Source organism: Homo sapiens, chromosome 11, assembly GCF_000001405.40.
Source record: "Homo sapiens chromosome 11, GRCh38.p14 Primary Assembly".
NCBI classification, from domain to species: domain Eukaryota; kingdom Metazoa; phylum Chordata; class Mammalia; order Primates; family Hominidae; genus Homo; species Homo sapiens.
The window spans coordinates 122,022,094-122,041,285 of record NC_000011.10 but is presented as its reverse complement, the minus strand read 5'-3'; the positions used below and the strand labels follow the sequence as shown (position 1 = coordinate 122,041,285).

The window sequence follows — 19,192 nt, the reverse complement described above, 5'->3', positions numbered from 1 at the left end:
AAAAAGAAATTTCCCGTGTTATCATTTTATGTGTAATATTAACTTGAGAAATGTACATGCTTTTATATCTGTAATATATATATTACATATTTTTATATATAGTTCTTTTGGGTGTGTATATAGATAGATACATGTAGATATATATTTATACACACACATAAACATATAAATATGCATTTATAGTTAGTGAAACAGAAACAAACAAAACCTAAAGGGAAAGCCACTTCATTCCCCCAATCTCACCCACATGCCAAATAATTTTCACTTTTTCACCAAAACTGTCAGTATAAAATGGACACTGTGGAACGAAGGGCAGTACAGACATACTTTCGCCAGGCTTAAGGGTATGAGATAATGAAACTAGCTCCTGGGATAAGCATATTTATTGGGTTTGTTATGTATCAAATGTAACAAAAGTAGAGGATCTGAAGAACACCCTGTGTGGTTCTTTTCACACCCTTTGATCACACAATTCCTCTTTAATTCAGATGCAGTAGAGCTTAAGTGGCTTCATTGATGTGTTAAGTGTGGAATGATTTTTGTATAAAATAAAAAAGGCTCCATTATGTGTCCAGAAAAGCCTGTGTGCGCTTGTTTATTGAGACAGGAAGTCGGTTTCCCACACAGAACAACAGTTCTGCGATGCTGAAGCATTGTGTCTGAAAGAAGAGTAAAGGAAACTTAATTTTCTACCTGGCAGAAATCGGCTTCTGGAGGAAGGGACAGACAATGCGATTGGACTTCAGCTGAATGAGAGGGCTTGATTGATTTTCAGAAAATGTGCCGTGTACAGGGAGGTTGCTTGGAATACTTTTGTTAGGAAAACGCACTTTTTGTAGTTGGAGCCTGTTTTTGTACCTGGCTTAAAGTGATGCCTCCCAGTGAATACTTGCTACCTCTCTGAAGTCAGGTGGGGAAAAAAGAAATGCTGTCCCAGAATTGTTCCCTCCTAGATATTGTCTCCAGGTTATTGTTTTGTTATATTTTTCCATTAAGTCAGCTGCCATTTGCTTTTTTTTTTTTTTTTTTTTTTTAGCTTGCTTGGAGAATACTTCTGAGACTTTCCAAGGTGAAGTTTATAAATCTATCCATAGTTTAAATATTGAGGCATGGATATAGTTCCTATCTGTTAGAAGTGTATCTTGACCTTGTAAATCCATGGAGTAAACCCTATACTGTGGCCACATGATGAAGAGAAATAAGATGAGAAGCCATATCTATCTCACACTCAAAAGACCAGGCTTTTTTCTCTATACCATGCTGCCTTAAATTATTAATACACAAGGTAGCAAAATTCCAGCCATTCTTCCCATCCCTTATGGAATCCCATGTCCACTCTCCTGGTTATTGTCATTGTCATCTTCCTCTTCATCCTCTTTATGAACTGTCTAAAGATTGATGCTTCCTAGCTGGGAATAGTTCATAGAGAGTATATTACATTACTGTTCTACTCAGCAATTTTACAATCTGAAACAGACAATAGTGAAGTGGACCTAAATAAGAAGAATGTATAGAGAATAGTGGCCGGGCGCAGTTGCTCACGATTGTAATCCCAGCCCTATGGGAGGCGGAGGGAGGCAGATCACAAGGTCATGAGATCGAGACAATCCTGGCCAACATGGTGAAAATATAGTAGATATTTTTGTATCTACTAAAAATACAAAAACTTAGCAGGGCATTGTGGCATGCGCCTGTAGTCCCAGCTACTTGGGAGGCTGAGGCAGGAGAATCGCTTGAACCTGGGAGGCAGAGATTACAGTGAGCTGAGATCATGCCACTGCACTCCAGCCTGGGTGACAGAGCGAGACTCCATCTCAAAAAAAGAAAAGAAAAGAAAAGAAGAAAAGAAAGAATGTATAGCGAATAGAATGAGCTCAGGGAATTTTTCCATTCATAACATTTATCTTACTAATATTTCAGAGTGAAGTCAATTTTCAGGGTGAAGACCTCAGTAAAGAATATAGTGGTTTCACATCCAAGAAAAATTTTGTTAGGCTGTGGACACTGTGTGGAGGTGACAGTATTAGAACTGCTATTGGATTGAGGCTTGGTGAGATTAGATGATCCAGGCAGATTCACATCTCCTCAGCCAATTGCTTAATTTTTCCCCATAGAGTGATTCCTTTTCTGCCCACCTTCCTATTTTTCCAACTTAATATTAATGCAACTTCTACTTCACCTTCCCATCATGCATAGGTGATTTTTTTCCTTAAAATTGATGTCATAATATCCTTTTGATCATTATAAACTTGGTTATAAAAGGATTTCACAGTCAAAGAATTCCAGGGAGGGGATAAGTATTGAGATAGGATAAGGAATATTCTTTGAGAAGGTCCCAGAGTAATGGTTCAATCACAAAGTTTCTTCCCCTTGGCATGCAGAATGAATTCTTCATTCTTGACTCCTTTATTAGCCTATCCTATTTTATCCCAACTCAGAGTAGCTTAGCCATAGCTGTTATCCTAGGTATTTAATGCTCCTTCTTCATGCATGTCTCACATTCCTCTCATGCATTTCTCATTAAGTCGTCTTTCACCCCCTCCATCTGTTTGTGTAATGCTTGGTATGTGACTGTTGCTGTGTAATAATAGGCCCTAAGTCATGTGACTTTAATTTGTAAGGTCAGACACCATTTTTCCTGCAGAGAATTCATTTTTGTCCTAAAGCTAACTCTTTTACCTCACGATGCTACTGTTTCTGATGACCAAAGATAAAAACTGAACTTTAAAAATCTCTCTTCACCTGTGTGTATATATATAAAAAAAAAATACTGGACCTTTATCACCAAAGTCAACAATCCAGTGAAAAGATGGTCACATCAGGAATCCATAAGCTGGATTCTGATCCTGATATTGTAATTGACTTGTCACAACTCCAGTCCAGTTGCTTCAGCTCTCTGATCTTCGATTTATTTATCAGAAAATTGTCCTTCCTCTCTCTCTTTTGCCTCCTCCCCTCCTTCTTCCCATCTTTCCCTCCTTCTTTCCTCTTTCTTTCCTTCCTCTCTTCCTTCCTTCCTTTTTTTCCTTCTTTTTTTGACAGAGTGCAGGAAATTCTACCCCCCAAGTATGGCACCTTGGCATGCTGAGTATTTTAAGCTGAAGGAAACAGAGAAAACCACAGAAGCAGAAAGGTCTTTCTGACCTCTCTTGAAGACCCTCATGTGACAGGTGTCCTGCCCTACATCCAGAGAGAAGGAATGTTCCACAGACAGACTAAGAAGAATCTGAAGAATCAGGCCTTACTAAGTGCCCTCCAGGTTATCTTTAAGTCATACCCCCTTTTTGTCCAATCATGCCTCTACATTCATCATCAAACCTAAGCATAAAAATACAGTTTCTCCTGGGTCTTTGGGTCTTCATTTTTGAAGACTTGTGTCACATAAAACATGAATTACATACGTTTGTTATGCTTCTCTGTTGTTAATCTGTCTTTGGTTATAAAGGTATCAGCCATCAACCTTGTGATGGATAAAGCAAGATATTATTTTTTCTCCTCTATACTTTCTTTCTTTTTTCCTTTCTTCCCTTTTCTTTCTCTCCCTTCCTCCCTTCCTCTTCCTTCCTCCTCTTTTCCAAACTTTCTCCCTTTTCCTTTCTTCCCTTTAATTTATATTTACTAAATGCCTCCATTCTCAAGGAGAGAGCAACAAACAAATACAAATTTCGTCAATTAAAAATAAGTTAATTTTTAAAAATGAAACATTAAAATAACAACACAAGGCTATTGCCGTTAAATGAACAAATAAAAAGGAATAAACTTTGTATGCATTTGCAGAGCACTATATAAAACTATGATATTATTGTTATGGGAGAATGAAATTCCTAGAGAGACCAGATGATGTAGAGATTAAAAACTTGGGCTTTGAGATTACTAGAGAAACTTGAGTTTCAACTCTACTAGCTGAGTGACGATGGGCACATTACTTAAAGTTTCCAAGCCTAAATTTCCTCAGCAGTGAAATACAGTGTGTTAATAAAAGTACATAGCTCAAAGGGCTGTTGCAAAGATTGAACGACATTTTATATGTAAAATGCTAAGCACAAATGCCTAACATATAATAAATGCTAAATAATGATAGCTATTATTATTCTTATCATTGTTTGTTAGGTAAGGCAGAGTAACTTATACTGTTGTCATTTTTGTTATGTAAAATAACGATAGTAATCTCAGAGGAAGCAAAGGTTGGTGGGGTTGGGGGAATTAGGACTTCTCCTGAGAACCGTCAGTTTCCTCTAGAGAAAGGAATTCATGGAAGGAGAGATGGGACTGTACCTGGTGGAAGCACAATAGGGTGGTGGTTAAGGCTGATATTTGTAAGCCCTCTCACTTGTTGATTGCCAGCCTCTTCCTATCACCTTCTGAAGACCTTTTTATCAGTTCCTTACTGAGTTTGTCCAGTATTACCTCTTAGTGTCCCTTGGCCAGAGGTTTCTCTTAGAAACATCAGCTGACAGCTTGAAAGTCTCACTCTTTTTCCTCTATCTGTCAAAATTCTATTTATTCTTCGTGGCCCGGTTTAAATACCAACTTTTCATGCAGCCTTTCTGGGCTGCCCTAAAATGCCATTCAGAACACCTACTCCGTGTTCCCACTGCACTCTTAGCAACCAGTAAAGCGCAATTGTGTTAGAGAGAGTGGGCAAATCTCTCTGTGCAATAGCGATAATAATCTGTCTCTTGTATTAGACCGTGAGCTCTTTGAGGAGAGGAACTGCACTGCCCTCAGCTTTGGATCCTATATCTTAGTCACTTGTGCCTCCTACATTTTAAAACTACACAAATGAAATTGCATTGTTTTCATGGAATTGAATCCTATGAAGAAAAAAGCAATGGGTGTGAACTTCTAACTCTTTTAAGGTCTGGTTGGAGCTGACCTAGGAGTATACAACCAAGGAAAGGGCTCAAGCACTCTGACTTCCAGCTCAAATCCTTACCTTCATTATAAGCTCCCTCTGGATCCCAGAGGCCCTCCATGACTGAGGAGGTGGCTCTGGATTCCTCAAAACTGAATTTCAGATAACTCACTTGCAATATTTGGATGAGTGCCTTGATGACATACACTCTAGAGATCATGAGGCAATGAGAATATTTCACTTAGCTTATTTTTTGCCGTGTGCTTATCAGGACATTCACATGGCTGGAGTTAGAAAAGGGTGTGGAACCTATATTTGGCTAAATGCAATGAAGAAATTCCTTGGCTAAAAAAGAAAACAATCTTTCCTTTCTTAAAAAGTTAAGTTGATGTAAAAAAAAAATCTTTGCAGTGCAAGATAGAGTTTCTTTTTCCTTTTCTGTCTGTCTTGGGGGCTTTATCTGATTTTAATCATTATTCAAATTATATGATTTGAAACAGCTGAAGCTGTTTTTTTTCCTTGGGGAAAAAAAAAAGAAATCTGCAGTTGCAACTATTGCAGCTATCTACCTACCCTACTCCCCTCCTCCAGGGTAGCATGGGCTGTCAAGTGTAAATGTTGAGGATTATGAATTTTACCTTTAAAATGCTTCAATGCCCTGCAGAGTTTTCTCAGCAATTTTCAAGTCTTGTTAACCATAATACATCTAGTTCTTGATTATCCACAAAAAAGGGAAATGAATAGTGGCACAGATAATCCAAAACAGAAAAACATTCAAAATGTTTCTTATATTTTACTTTGGAATGCTTTGTATGGCTTTTGGGGGTTCCAATTTTCTTCCCAGTGATGTTCTGCTCAGGAAAAAGTTAAAATGAGTTTGCATTCCCTAAGCCCGCACTGGGGGATGTGGCTCAGCCACATGCTGGGTGGCAGGGAGAAGGCAGCCCAAAAAATAAGGGAAAAGAATTCCACTGATAATCTAGAAGTGGAACTGCTCCTATGAATAATAAAGGGCTGATCAGAATATAATTCAGTTTTATAAATTCATGTGGACAATTTTTTGGTCCACATTAAAAAAAATCTAGTTATCCTCTTCAGAAGAGTTAAAACTGGTATCAAAGAGAACTTTGGTATCAAAAATAAATGACCTCAAGATCCTTTACTTCTCACAGCCCAGTAGCACTGGCACTATGTGAAGGAGTCAGGATCTGTTGCTGGGGCCAAGGGGACTCAGTTCTCAGCTAATGTACTCCAGCTCCATCCTTCAACCTTCTTCAGTTGAACATGTGTAGATTTATAAAATGCCAGGCTATGTACTACTGTCCCATCTACCATGGTAGTTACAATTATCATTCCTATTTTACAGATGAGAAAACTAAGGCTCATATAGGCTCATTATTAATTTAAGTTCACAAAGCTACTCACTGTGAGCAGCTAACTTTGAGCTCAGGACTATCTCACTCAGTTTGGATAACTAAGTTGAGAGTCAGAAGTTAAGGGGTATCAAGCTTTTCATTATTTGAATGTTTTCCTGGTTTCCCTCATTGTTCTTAGAAAGCAAATTCAATTAAATATTTATGAGCTCTGACTACTAGGTTGCTCGTATGTATATATGTATAATATGTATGTGTGTGTGTGTGTGTGTGTGTGTGTATATATATATATATATATCATGATATTGTGTTGCAAGAAAAAAATCTAATAATATTTAGATATAATCTCTGCCCTCCAGAGTTTTCAGTTTAAAATAGAAACCAGATGAATAGAATAGAATGAGAAACCACGTGACTATAGAGTAAGGCAGAATGAGACAAGTAGATATAAGAAATGGCAGGGCAGGGTCAAATCACATCAGGATGGGAACAAAAAACAGGAGATTTCAGAAAAGGCTAATGAATGAATGAATGGAAGTCAGTGGGCAATTTCAATTTCAATATGCTGCGTATGACGTGAGTAAGGAACCAAGTGCACACTGCTATTGAGATGGGCCTTAACAACTGGATACCATTTTGTTGACAGCTCTGATGTAGATGGGATGGAATTCCAAGTGCTGGGAATACTTCTAGCAGCTAAAGTTAAGAGCGTACCAGATGTGTTCGAGAACCTTGAGTTGATCTGAAAAGAGAATCTGCTCAAGGAGAAAACAATGTAAGCGAAAATGAAAATAGTAACAACAAAAAAACAAAATAGCATCATAATCTTGTCATAAAAAAATCAGAGTTAGGGACAGAGATGAGAGAGAGAAGAGAAGAGAGAAGGAAGCCATTTTTAAAACCCCTCATGTTTTCATGTTTTAGAAAATTGAAATACTCACCTAGTAATTTGGTATAAAACAATGGGCACATTTTTCAGTAATTTTAGTACTGGAAGGAGAGGAAAAGAATAGGTAACAAAAACAAATTTATTAGTCCAAGGCCACCCTATTGCTCAAGTGGATCCCTAAAAACTCAGGGGTCCTAACTCCTACTCCAGTGATCAGCTGCTAGCTAGGCCAGCTTTAGGGTATGACGGTAGCACCAAGGCCAAGCTTCTGGGAAGCCTTAGAGTAGCTTCTGGGAAGAAAGTAGGGATTCCAGGATGTTTACAAAATATAACTCAAGGATTATGTGTCTTCAATTTGTTCTGGAAGTTTCCACACTCATCTTAGCTAAATCACATTCCTTTTCCCTTGCAGACTTTTTTGTCTGTCCTTGATTTCTTCTTTGACATCTTCTCTTCCCCCATTATCTTTTACTCTATCAAACCTGATTTTACCCCCTGTATAAAAATGCAAAAGCCATAGTCGTTTACTCCTACACACCCTTAGCATTTGCTGGGTGTTTGTCTCTTTGGTCTCTCGAGCCTTAGATATCTCTAGGCCCCATTCTAGCTCCCATGAGCAATTTCACATCACTATGGACATGACCTCAATGAAACTGGCTATGGTACTCTGGGTTTTCAATGTACAATTCTATTTCCCTTCCTGTAGTGGATGCTGTGGGGCACCACCTCCTTGAGGACCAAGGCACTCCAGCTGCCAGGAATTTGGCTGCTAACCTCACACAGCTGAGCCTTCCATGAAAATTGCTCTCTGCCAAAGAGAACTTCCTAGTCCAAGGTCATGTCTACTCTCCAGAGGTAACTCTTAACTAATGTCTGTCCAGATCGTTTGCCACAATGTTAAACAACTGTGAATGACTATCAGAGCTCCAGAACGCCCCAAGGGATCTGGGTAGCCCTCTCCTGTACATGCCCAATGTCCATCTTTTCCCTTTGCCCAGTCCTGCTTCCTTCACTCTCTCGTGAGTATCATCCCTGAGAGCACTCCTGATAACTCCCTACATGCAAGTCTCCACCTCAGAGTCAATTTCCCAGGGAACAGTCTCAATACCCTATATTTACTGTGGCTTGTATGTTGTTGCTGTAGTAACCTGTCTTGTAATGAAAGAAAAAAAATCACCATCTTTGAAGGGGTCAGAGATCAAGGTTTTGGTAGCCCCTGTACAACAGAATTCATTGAACCAGGCCTATAGCCTAGTCCAGCCATTTTCTTACCTCTTGACCTTGAGTTAAGTAATGTATCATTCCTATGTACTGGTTTCCTTTGGTTCAAATGGATAATAACCTATATGGTGGAATGATGGGGGAGAAAAATGAACAGATGGTTAAACATCCCTAAAAGACCATTACATACTGTGAAAAGACTTAAATTCTGTGGTGAAGTCTCCAAAATCTTAATCCCCATAGACTGAGATTCTACAGAGTCCACTTCTTTGGAAATAGTTTTGAAAATACCCTTTGCTTCACTTTCTGTGAATTATGCAACCACAGAATTCCTCTGGGGACTCAGCCACACCCCAAATCTTAGCCTAAATCACTGAGTTTGACACAGATTCATAAGAATTTGGCAAGCAGCTCACCCACATTTTCTATCAAATTGAATCCAAATGTTGCCTAGGTTGGATGAGAGTTCGGTCAAGAGAAGGAGGCCCAGGCCAATGGACTGCTAAATGGTGATATTCGAAACCCAAATGAGTTTGGCTTGGCTTTAAGACTAGGAGGAAAGCTTTGAACCATAGCATATGATATAAGCCCCGGTCCAACTCAAAACCAGTTTTACTTTTTTTGGTTGTTATTTCAGAAATGCACTGACCCTGCACTCTACAGGACACTATGCTCATTCCGAATGCTAAGGTCAGTCCTAGGAAACTGCAGGCGCCTGTAGGGTCAAAGTAGAGTGGGGAAGCTGGTTCTTAACACCTGTTCCTTTACTTCCTTCTGGAACAGAGCAAACCTTGACAAGATGGGGTGGGGTAGTAGTGTTTGAAAGGACTGGAAGAACTACTAATTCAGGCTCCTGTGAAGAACCCAATCAGCAGTGGGCTTTGTGTTGAGGCTCTGATTGAATTCTCTCTCTTTACAGAGAAGGTGTTGGCCTCCTGCTTCCTGGAATAGTGGCTATGACTAACTCATGTAGCACTGGATACAATTATAAAACAGAGAAAGTTAGATTTTGCTGCTCACATCAAATTTTCTATCACAACTTCTCCTTAATTATCCTTTTAATTTAACTTTTGTATTAGGTTTGGGGTACATATGCAGGTTTGTTATATAGGTAAACTCGTGTCATGGGAGTCTTTTGTACAGACTTTCATAATCCAGGTAATAAGCATTGTACCCAACAGTTATTTATTTCTACTCCTCTCCCTCCACCCACCCTCCCCACTCAAGCAGGCCCCAATGTCTGTTGTTTCCTTCTTTGTGTTCATGAGTTCTCATCATGAATTTAGCTCCCAGTTATAAGTGAGAACATGCCGTATTTGGTTTTCTGTTGCTGTGTTAGTTTGCTAAGGAATAATAGCCTCCAGCTCCATCCATGTTCCTGCAAAAGATATGATCTCATTCTTAAATAATTATCCTTTTCCTTCTCCTTTTTCCCCTTCTCCTTTTCCCCTTTCTCCTTTTCCTTTACCTCCTCTTCCTCCTAATCTTCTTTTCCTTTCCTCCCTCCTCCTCCTCCTCCCACTACCCTCTTTCTTCCTCTTTTTTTCTCCCTAAGAAACTTCACACTCTCCACTGTCTTCAGGCTTCATCGATCACTCCTCCAAAAGCCCCCATTACACCAGCACCCCACCCCTGGGAAGACTTTCCCAAGCAGCATCACCCTCTCTCTACCCTCACCCCACACAATCATCTTCACCCCAACCCTCTCCACACTCCTGCACCTCCCATCACCACTAAGACTTGTCTCTCAGAGGTCTTGTCTCCTAAGGCCCTAGCTGCCTAGATAAACCAATATGTTAATACACATGGGAAAACCCATGATAAAGCCAATATTAAAATATAGTATGTCTGAGTCTTGGCTTTGTCACTCCCAGGCCATATAATATTCGGTAAGACATTTAGACTTTTTAAACTTCCATTTCTTCACCTCTAAAATACAGCTAAGAAAGACTCAACATACAGGGTCTTAGTTTACATTTAGCTTCCACTGAAAAACATCTCTTGATCTTCCAAAATAAGATTAAATGCCCCTTGTCTATGTTCCTATGTCATTCTCTCAATTCACTTGTCATAAAGCTTGTCACTTGCATCCTAATTCCCAGTATACTTCCTGATTCTTACTGCAGACTCCTGAGAGCAAGACATATGGTTGATCCCCCTTGAAGTCCAGTGGCTAACACAATGTCTAGCACGTAGCTGTACTAAAATAAGGACATTAAATGAATAGGCCACCTCTGGAAGCATTTATAAATAGTGGAAATTGTTTCTCCCAGATGGCATATTTATATTGGAACAGTGTCCTTTTTAGATCATGCCTCTGCTAGAGAAGAGACCATAATGGAAATATCAGGTGCAGGAAGATGTTTTGGTGTCACTCAAATAGCTCCATGTAGGTGGCCTCTTGCTCTCTCCAAACATCCAGCTGGCTCTGGGCCCGTGCACCTGAAGGGAGATATCTGAGACTCAGAACACTTCCTGCTTCATTTCAGTGACACCAACTTGGCTCCGTTTTCACCTCCAAGCTGGGATCAAATGTTCCCCAAGTGCAGAGAGTTAAGGAGAGATGTCTCATTCTCTCCCTTGACCTCCTCTCTTATTCCCCTCTTATTATGTTTTTCATAAAACTTTAAACGAGATTCCCAGAGAAAAGCCCTGTCCTTTGGTCAGGCCAGCAGCCTCCCCAACTGTGGGCTCTGGCACTTCTCTAAAAAGGTCAAAATGGGGATAGAAAGTTCTTGATGAGGTGCTTGAGCACTTACATTAATGGGAGAAGAGATAAAGAGGGAAACACGGGGAGTGTGGGATGTGTGAGACTGCATGTTCACAGGGAAAAGTAATGTTGTGCAGAAAGCCTGCCACTGCTAATGAACCTGGTAAGAGGACAGGAAGGAAAGGGATTATTTCTGTTATCCCTTTTGGGAAACAATTTTCCATGTGTCTTACATTTTTACATCTGGCAGGTGCTGACAGTCCTTGTGCTGGGCTCTCTTTTTAAGGATGTTTCCATAGTGGAAACATATATGGAAAAACGGAGCTGGGCTGGAGCATAGGGCAGGTGCACTTAGGGTCCATTATGCAAAATTTGGGTTTTCTATACTCAGGGCTTCTCTCTCATAAGCCACCCCACAGTGTGTGCAGGTATTGCCTGGCTCTCTTCACATTGTTCTGTGGGAATTGGGGCTTGGAGGGTCAAAGCAAATATGCTAATACTCTTATTGCTTGCTGTGCTGTGAGTAAAGTCCATTGTCTCTGACCCAGGAATCTTGTGTCTTCTGCCAGCATCCATGAATCTGTCAGGTTATCTTGTGAGCTTACAAGTAGTATAAAGTTTCAGCCCTTCACAGTTCTTGACCAAGTTCTGTTCTCTCTGCCTAAAGGCAGCTTGTGAAAGAATTCTGCCTTTATAGGTCTATGTGAGCCCTATCTCCTATGAGAAAAAGAGAAGAGAGAAGAGAGAAAAAGAGCACATACGTATTGAATGTCCCCTGTTTGCCAAGCCATGCTGAGCTGAGCTGAGCTTCTCCTACATTATCTCATTTAATCCTCATAACACCCTAGGAGTAGATATCATCCTGCCTCTTTCATAGATGAAGAGTCCCAGGCCCAATAAATTGAAGTGACTTGCCAAGATCACTCACAGAGTGTGAGGTTAAAACCTAAGCCCGTCTGTTAAGAGAGCTACTGATCTTTCTGTTATATCATTCTAGGAAGTCCTTTATTTTCTGTGTATTGAATAGATGACCAATCCAAGATAACAAGAGAGATGCTAGCAAGTCTAAAATCATTTCCCTAACCACTCTGTTATCTGTTCTATGATTTTTCCCAGTTCTGTCCCTGGACGTATTCCTCAGCTTAATGAGCACTTCTTCATTTTTGTAGTCTTTTGCCTTTCCTTTTCTAGGACCCCAGCCTCCAGCCAATGTTACTCCTTTTGCTTAGCCTTGGACTTCTTGACTCTTGCTATTGCTCTAGGATATTTTTTTGGAGCGGGGGTCTACTCAGAAGAAAAGATGGGAAGCCCTTTCTCTGATATCACTGTAGAATGAATAACACTGTCCAGACGTCACAGTTCTATTCTAAAGAATTCTTGTTTGGTTTTCAGATGTGACTGGAGTGATTTGCACCCGGATGCCTAGACTCGCCATCTGCTCAAAGACTGCTCAGAAAGCCCTCCCATGCATTCCCCTGCTGCATACCAGCCCACTCTGCCTGCAGCTGCTGTCTGCAGGACTTCATATCTATGCCACACTGTGTAAAAGCTGTGCTTCAAGAAATCACAAAAACATTTTCCTGCACCTACTACACAGCCTGAGTGCGGCATAAGTTGACCTTGCTTGCTAAGAAATGGGGCAAGAAATGCTTTTTTGTGTGTGTCATGTCTGTTTGTTTTTCAATTAAGAGAGGAAAGCATTAGGCAGATGGAATGTACATGTGAGGATGAGGAGACAGAAAACAAGTAGCCCTTTCCATCAAGATAGAGGGTTTTCTGGGGTTGCTGGCTATTGAATGTCACTCCTGATTTCTCTTTCCAAGGCACTGTACCACCAGCCTACTGAGATTGTGTGGGAGCTTTCATGGGGGTTGTATTTCACTGATGAAAATAAATTTTTTGCATAATGTGAATGTTTATGTTTCTTTATAGAATAGACTTAGTTTAGCAATAAGCTAATAATACTGACGTAACTCTAATTCTCTGGGGAAAAAATTTGCTCCCCCACCTTCCATTCCTGCAACATCATCAAAGTACTCACAACAAGAATGAACAAATTAGCAACACTTACTAGCACTGCCTAGACTCAGTGTAAGCAAATTTTGAAATAAAAAGGAAAGCGTGATGGGACATTCTTATGGTTTAAATATTTGTCTCCTCCAAAACTCATGTTGAAATTTAGACTCCAATGTAGTACCATTGAGGGGTGGGGCCTTTAAGAGGTAATTGGGTCATAAGGATCCTACCCTTATGAATGAATTAATCCATTCATGAATTAATGGGTTAGTGGATTAGTGGATGAATAAGTTATCATGAGAGTGGGACTGGTGGCTTTATAAAACAGGAAGAGAGACCTTAGCTAGCACTCAGCCCCCTTGCCATGTAATGTCCAGCACCACCTCAGGACTCTGCAGGGTCCCCCCCAGCAAGAAGGTCCTCACTAGATGTGGTCCCCTGATCTTGGACTTAGCTTCCATAGCTGTAAGAAATAAATTTCTTTTCTTTATAAATTGCCCAGTTTAAGTATTCTGTTACAAGCAATAGAAAATAGACTAGGACACACATAGACCTTGCTTTACGGAGTTTATAACCAATTTGTAGAGAAAGACAATTATTCATTAAAAAAAATAACATACACCAGATGGTAGGTGAAAAGACACACGTGAGCAGCACAAAGTGCTACTGAAGTTGTGAAACAGGTATCATTAGTCTCCTAGTTACCAAGACTCTAAATTGTGGAGTTATCTTCACACCTCAAACCTAATTCACTCCCACACAGGTTCCTTCAAAATGCCTCTTGCAGCCTCCTCTTTCTCCGTTCCATGCCTAATAGCATCACCTTACTTTAAGTCTTTATCAGTTTATATTTAAATTGTTAAAACTTTTTACTTGTCTCCTTGCCACTGGCCACTTCCCACTGGAACTCATGTGGAGCAAAAATTAAACTTCCAAAAGCACCACTTTGATCCTTTTCCTTCCCTATTCAAACACTTCCCTGGATGCCAATTTCCAACTGAAATAAAGTCAAAACTTGAGGATTGGCATGAAAGAAGGATCCAGGTTTGTGCTGACATGGGCTTGGTCCTAGGATGGTGGGAAAAAGAAAGAAAAAAATGAGCAAGTCAAGCAAGACTTGATGGTTGGAATACAGGAGCTGAGAGAAGGTAGCATTACCAAGAATTATGGGCTTGAACCTAGAAGACTGGAAGACGAGCAAAAGGCAAAAATAGAGAAGTGCACATTTAGAAGATGTGTTGAGGTGAAAAGACTCAGGGCTTTCGCAATATCACCTACCACTGAGTATGCACTTAGAGGGACATAGGAGGGGCACCATAGATGCTTGCTGAGCAAATAAATAAAGGAATGAATGAATAAGCCTCCTATTTGCATTATGTCCATCGTTTCACTTTATAACAACCTTAGCTGGGGGTTCTTATTATTATCACAATTTTACTGATATCTAAACCAAGACTCAGAGAGGTTACACAATTTTCCCAGTATCCTCCGGTAAATGAGAGGCAGTGCTGAGATGTGAAGCCAGGTCAACTCGATGTCACAGTCCATCTAGCACGTTCTGCCCTCTGGAAGCATCTAATTGTGTAGCACCTGGAGACGTGGAGCTGTGGGACACATTTGCAAAAGGCGATTGTTTATCGTCAAAGCTGCAGGAGACACTAGAGGAATGTTGCAGAGGACAAAAAAGTAGACATTCTGGACCTCAGCAATGGGAAGTTTTGGAGATAGAGGAAGCGGCACTCTTGAAGGGAATAGAAGAGAAGACCTAACAAAAGAAGAATCACGGAACAAAAAGAGAAAGGAGATTTGTCAGCAAATATGTGATTAACAACATGACAAGCTACAGAAATAGTCTTAACAGGAGCAGTGAGGCAGCCTGGTTTGAATGGAAGGAAAGAGCCTGGACCACAGCAGATAGGCTGTGTTAGAACCACCCTTCTGTTTGAAGCTTGAGCACAGAGGGGAGAAAAAAATAACTTTTTTTCACTTACTGCAAGGGACATGGTGGACGCTCCTATAATAAAAGACAGATTAACAAGAGAAAAGCATAACAAATTTATTTTAAAAGTTTTTTGTGACTCAGGAGGCTTCAGAAATAAAAAAAACCCCAAAGATCCAGGGAAAACGTTGTAAATCTGACGAAACGGTAAATCTGACGAAAGAAGTGTGAAGAAATGTGATTGGACAACAGAAAGGGGCAGAGCCTTATGGTAATGAACTGTGGGGGGCGGGAGCGTGTTGCTGAGAGAGGCCTATTTATTCAGACGCTTCTCGGCCTCTCTGTGCTGCATTTCTTTCCTCCAGATACAGGGCGGTTCATCTCTCACATGAGGGTCTTACGATCTACTTGCAGGAAAGGTAAGACAGAGAATTCCTTTCTGTTTGGCTCTCGCACAGGAACGTGGTGGAAGGTCAGAGAGACCTTGCTTCCTAGGCCCTCTCAATCTCCTTCAGCTCAAAGGGCTTTGGGGTAGTGTTTTCTGACCCCCAACAAGCAAGCTGCCTAAATGACTTGAAATTTATTGTTTGTATTTATCACATGGTGATAATATCCGTTTGGCAGGATTAAATGTGATAATGCTATCATATAGCAAATAGCATCTAACATTTACAAGGCACCAGGCAACAGTCTAAGCCCTCAACACATACTATTTCATTTAATCCATACAACTCTGTTGGGTAGATTTTGTTGGAGTCAGCTTGTTTGCAGATGAGGAAACACAGGTTCAGAGAGTTTAAGTAATTTACTTAAGGTCACACAGCTTGTGAGTAGCAGGGCTGGAATTTAAACCCAACCATTCTGCTCCCAGAAGCTATGCTCTTCACCATCATGCTATGCTAAATTGCGTTAAACAAATTATCCATAAATAGTATTGCCTTTCCTCTCAAGAACACGTGAGCTACATTAATTTTTTAAAAGTAGGTAGATTATAAATATTCAAACCAGAGGTGAACAAACAACAGTCCATAGTCCCCAGATCTGGCCAACCGCCTGTTTTATTGTATGACCTGCAAGCTAGGAATGGTTTTCACATTTTTTAATGATTTAGAAAAATTAAAAAATAATATTTTGAGACGCATGAAAATTATAGTGAAATTCAAATTTTAGTGTCCATAAATAAAGTTTTATTGAAACACATTTTTTTTTACATATTATTTATGCCATTTTTGCCACAGAAGAGCAAAACTGAATACTTGTCAGGGGAACTACAAAGTCTAAAATATTTAATATCTGGCCCTTTACAGAAAAACTTTGCCAACCTCCTGATATAACCAAAAACTTTCTTTGGCTAACGGAAGAGAAGCGATTTAAGGGCTTGAATTTCTCAGGAAATTCTTCACCCCTCCTGGCGCCCCATCCTCTCATATTCTCCACTGGCTGCACGCGCACCTGCACTTCATTAGAGAACAGTCATGGGGAGGAAAGAAATCCCCGACAGAGTAGTTTGTTGCATTTCTTGGGTGGAGAAAGAAGGCGGGAGGAGGCTTGCTGGGTAGGGTGAAGGTGAGGCTTTCTTCTCAGTCCTGAATTACAGCCAGATGAGTGTATCCCTGTTTCGTCTCCAGAATTATAACTTTTAATAAGCATGGAAGTGCAGGAGCTTAGCACTGTGGAGGAGACACAATGGCCAAGTCACATCACAGGTGTCTTCTCTCTGAGGCTGGTCCATGATCAGCAAAGCAACCAGCTCAGCCCCCTTCCCAGTGTCTATTTGCTTTCTCAGGCTTACTGTGACGAATTCACTGGGAAGTGGCAAAGCCTCGGGGGCTTTTGCACAGAGCCAGGGGCCAGTCCCTTGGGTTCTGTGTGGAGCTTTGTCAGCAACCTTCCAGCCTGTTGGTGGCAAGTCAGTTGCTCTCTTTCTGCCTTACTTAGCATAATTAAACTGAAGATAGTTTACCAAAGTCAGTGTGTTCAGGCATCCAGCCTGTAAGATATTAAGTAAGCAACAGAATGACAACAGCAAGGATGTGTAGGCTTTCTAAAATTTTTAAAAATTTTTTCTAAAATTGTGGCAAAATATATATAACCTAAAATTTACCATTTTAACCATCTTTAAGTGTACAGGTCTGTAGCACTAAGTACATTCACAGTGTTGTGAAACCATCCATCTCCAGAACTATTTCATCTTGCAAAACTGAAACTCTGTACCGATTAAACACTCCCAATCACTCTCTCCTTCCAGTCTCTGGCAACCATCTTTCTGCTTTCGGTCTCTGTGAATTTGACTACTCTAGGTACCTCATATAAGTGGAATCATACAGTATTTGTCCTTTTGTGACTGGCTCATGCCACTTAGTATGTCTTTGACATTCATCCATGTTGTAACATGTATCAGAATTTCCTTTTTTCTTTTTTTTTCGAGACGGAGTCTCCCTCTGCTGTCCAGGCTGAAGTGCAGTGGCACAATCTCAGCAAACTGCAACCTCGGCCTCCCAAGGTCAAGTGATTCTCCTGCCTCAGCCTTCTGAGTAGCTGGGATTACAGGGGCCCGCCACCACGCCCTGCTAATTTTTGTATTTTCAGTAGAGATGGAGTTTCACCATGTTAGCGAGGCTGGTCTCAAACTCCTAACCTCAAGTGATCCACCAGCCTCAGCCTCCCAAAGTGCTGGGATCACAGGCAAAAGCCACCACACCCAGCCGAATTTCCTTCTTTTTAAAGGCTGAATAATATTCCATTACATATATATGCCACATTTTGTTCATCCATTGATGGACACACGGGTTGCTTCCCTCTGTTGGCTGTTGTGAATAATGCTGCTATGAACATGGGTGTATGCGTGTCTGTTTGAGCCCCTGCTTTCAATTCTTTTGGGTATATGCCCAGGAGCAGAATTGTTTTATCATATGGTAATTCTATTTGTAATTTTTTGAGGAAGCTTCATACTGCTTTTGGTAGCGTTTCTGTGGAACATATAAGGCCAGGAGGAGTGGCAGCCTAGCTGGGTAGATAGGCGCCAGATCCTAGACTTTGAGTTTTATTAGGGATGTGATTAGAAGACTTTGCAAGTTTATCCCTTGGACCAGTCCTCAGTGCATATAATTGTTTGTTGAATTGATTTTAATCTAGTACAACAATGATTTATGTTTCTTTCTTCTCAGACTTTGGCTCCTCCTGTTCTTTATTTTTGTTTTCTGTTTTTGTTTTTACCACTTCGTTCCAATCTGACAATAGCGGCTTTCCTTTTATTTTATTTTTACTAGAGATACATCTCAGATATAGAAGAACATAAATAACGCTGGGCCATGAGTTTAGACAAAAACAAAACAACAGAAAGTGAACCCCTCCAAGAAAATAATGAAGCTACCTACATAGGTTAGGCTCAGTTGCGCTTCCAAATGTGTTTTAAATTAAGTCATCTCAACCGTGACTACAAGTTCAAAATATTGAAAGCAACCTTATTGGAATTGGAACAAGGCATATTTGGTTTCCTCTGAAGGATTTTTTTTAAGTGTAGTTAATAGCAGAGCTCTGAAATGTAAAAATACAGGAAAAGAAAGCCCATATGCAAATTACTCTCCTAGTAAATGGCATTAAAACTCGCCATCTTTCAGAAGTTGTGATCGCTTGGTAAAATCTCACTTATATGAAAGTGCTTAGGTAGCAACTGCATTTGTGTGAGTAAGGCCAATCAAGTGGAAGTAAGCAGAAGAATTTGGAGCAATCTAAACAAATATTCAGAGTCCATAGACTCAGATAGGTTTTGCCTTTATTTTACTCGCAATACGTACAGGCAAACGTGGTTGCCTAGTTCCCCAAGAGGACAAAATGGAAGGAATAATTTACAAGCAAGCAAAAAGAGAGTTGGCTAAAATCAGGCAAAAGGGCTAAATCTGAAAAAAAAAAAAAAAATACTACTGAATTTATAAGGAGGGGATAGTAAAAACAGGAAAGGTACACAAACCCTGAAAGAAAACACTGCCACAGCATGCAGAGTATCCTTGAATTATTTGACCGGGAAATCGACGCTTTCCCATCTCAACAGCCTCCAGTGCATCTCCACAGGAAGGCGTAGCATCCAAATTGATGCTCATAATGATTTCTTCCATCATTATGGTTATACCTTAAACAGTTGGGCCACAAAGTAGTAAAAATGAACTACTCTGGGAAATTCACATCTGCA

The 19,192-nt window shown here is 40.3% G+C and overlaps 1 long non-coding RNA gene across 1 annotated transcript in view; it reads left to right on the top strand.

The window, feature by feature from the left end:
• Positions 1–12,957, top strand: part of MIR100HG (mir-100-let-7a-2-mir-125b-1 cluster host gene) — a 394,543-nt gene extending 381,586 nt beyond the window's left edge. Inside the window, exons 4-5 of the long non-coding RNA NR_137178.1 lie at positions 7,824–7,972; positions 12,441–12,957. This is a non-coding gene — a long non-coding RNA (mir-100-let-7a-2-mir-125b-1 cluster host gene). The remainder of the gene's footprint in view (positions 1–7,823; positions 7,973–12,440) is intronic.
• The last annotated feature ends 6,235 nt before the right edge of the window (positions 12,958–19,192 follow it).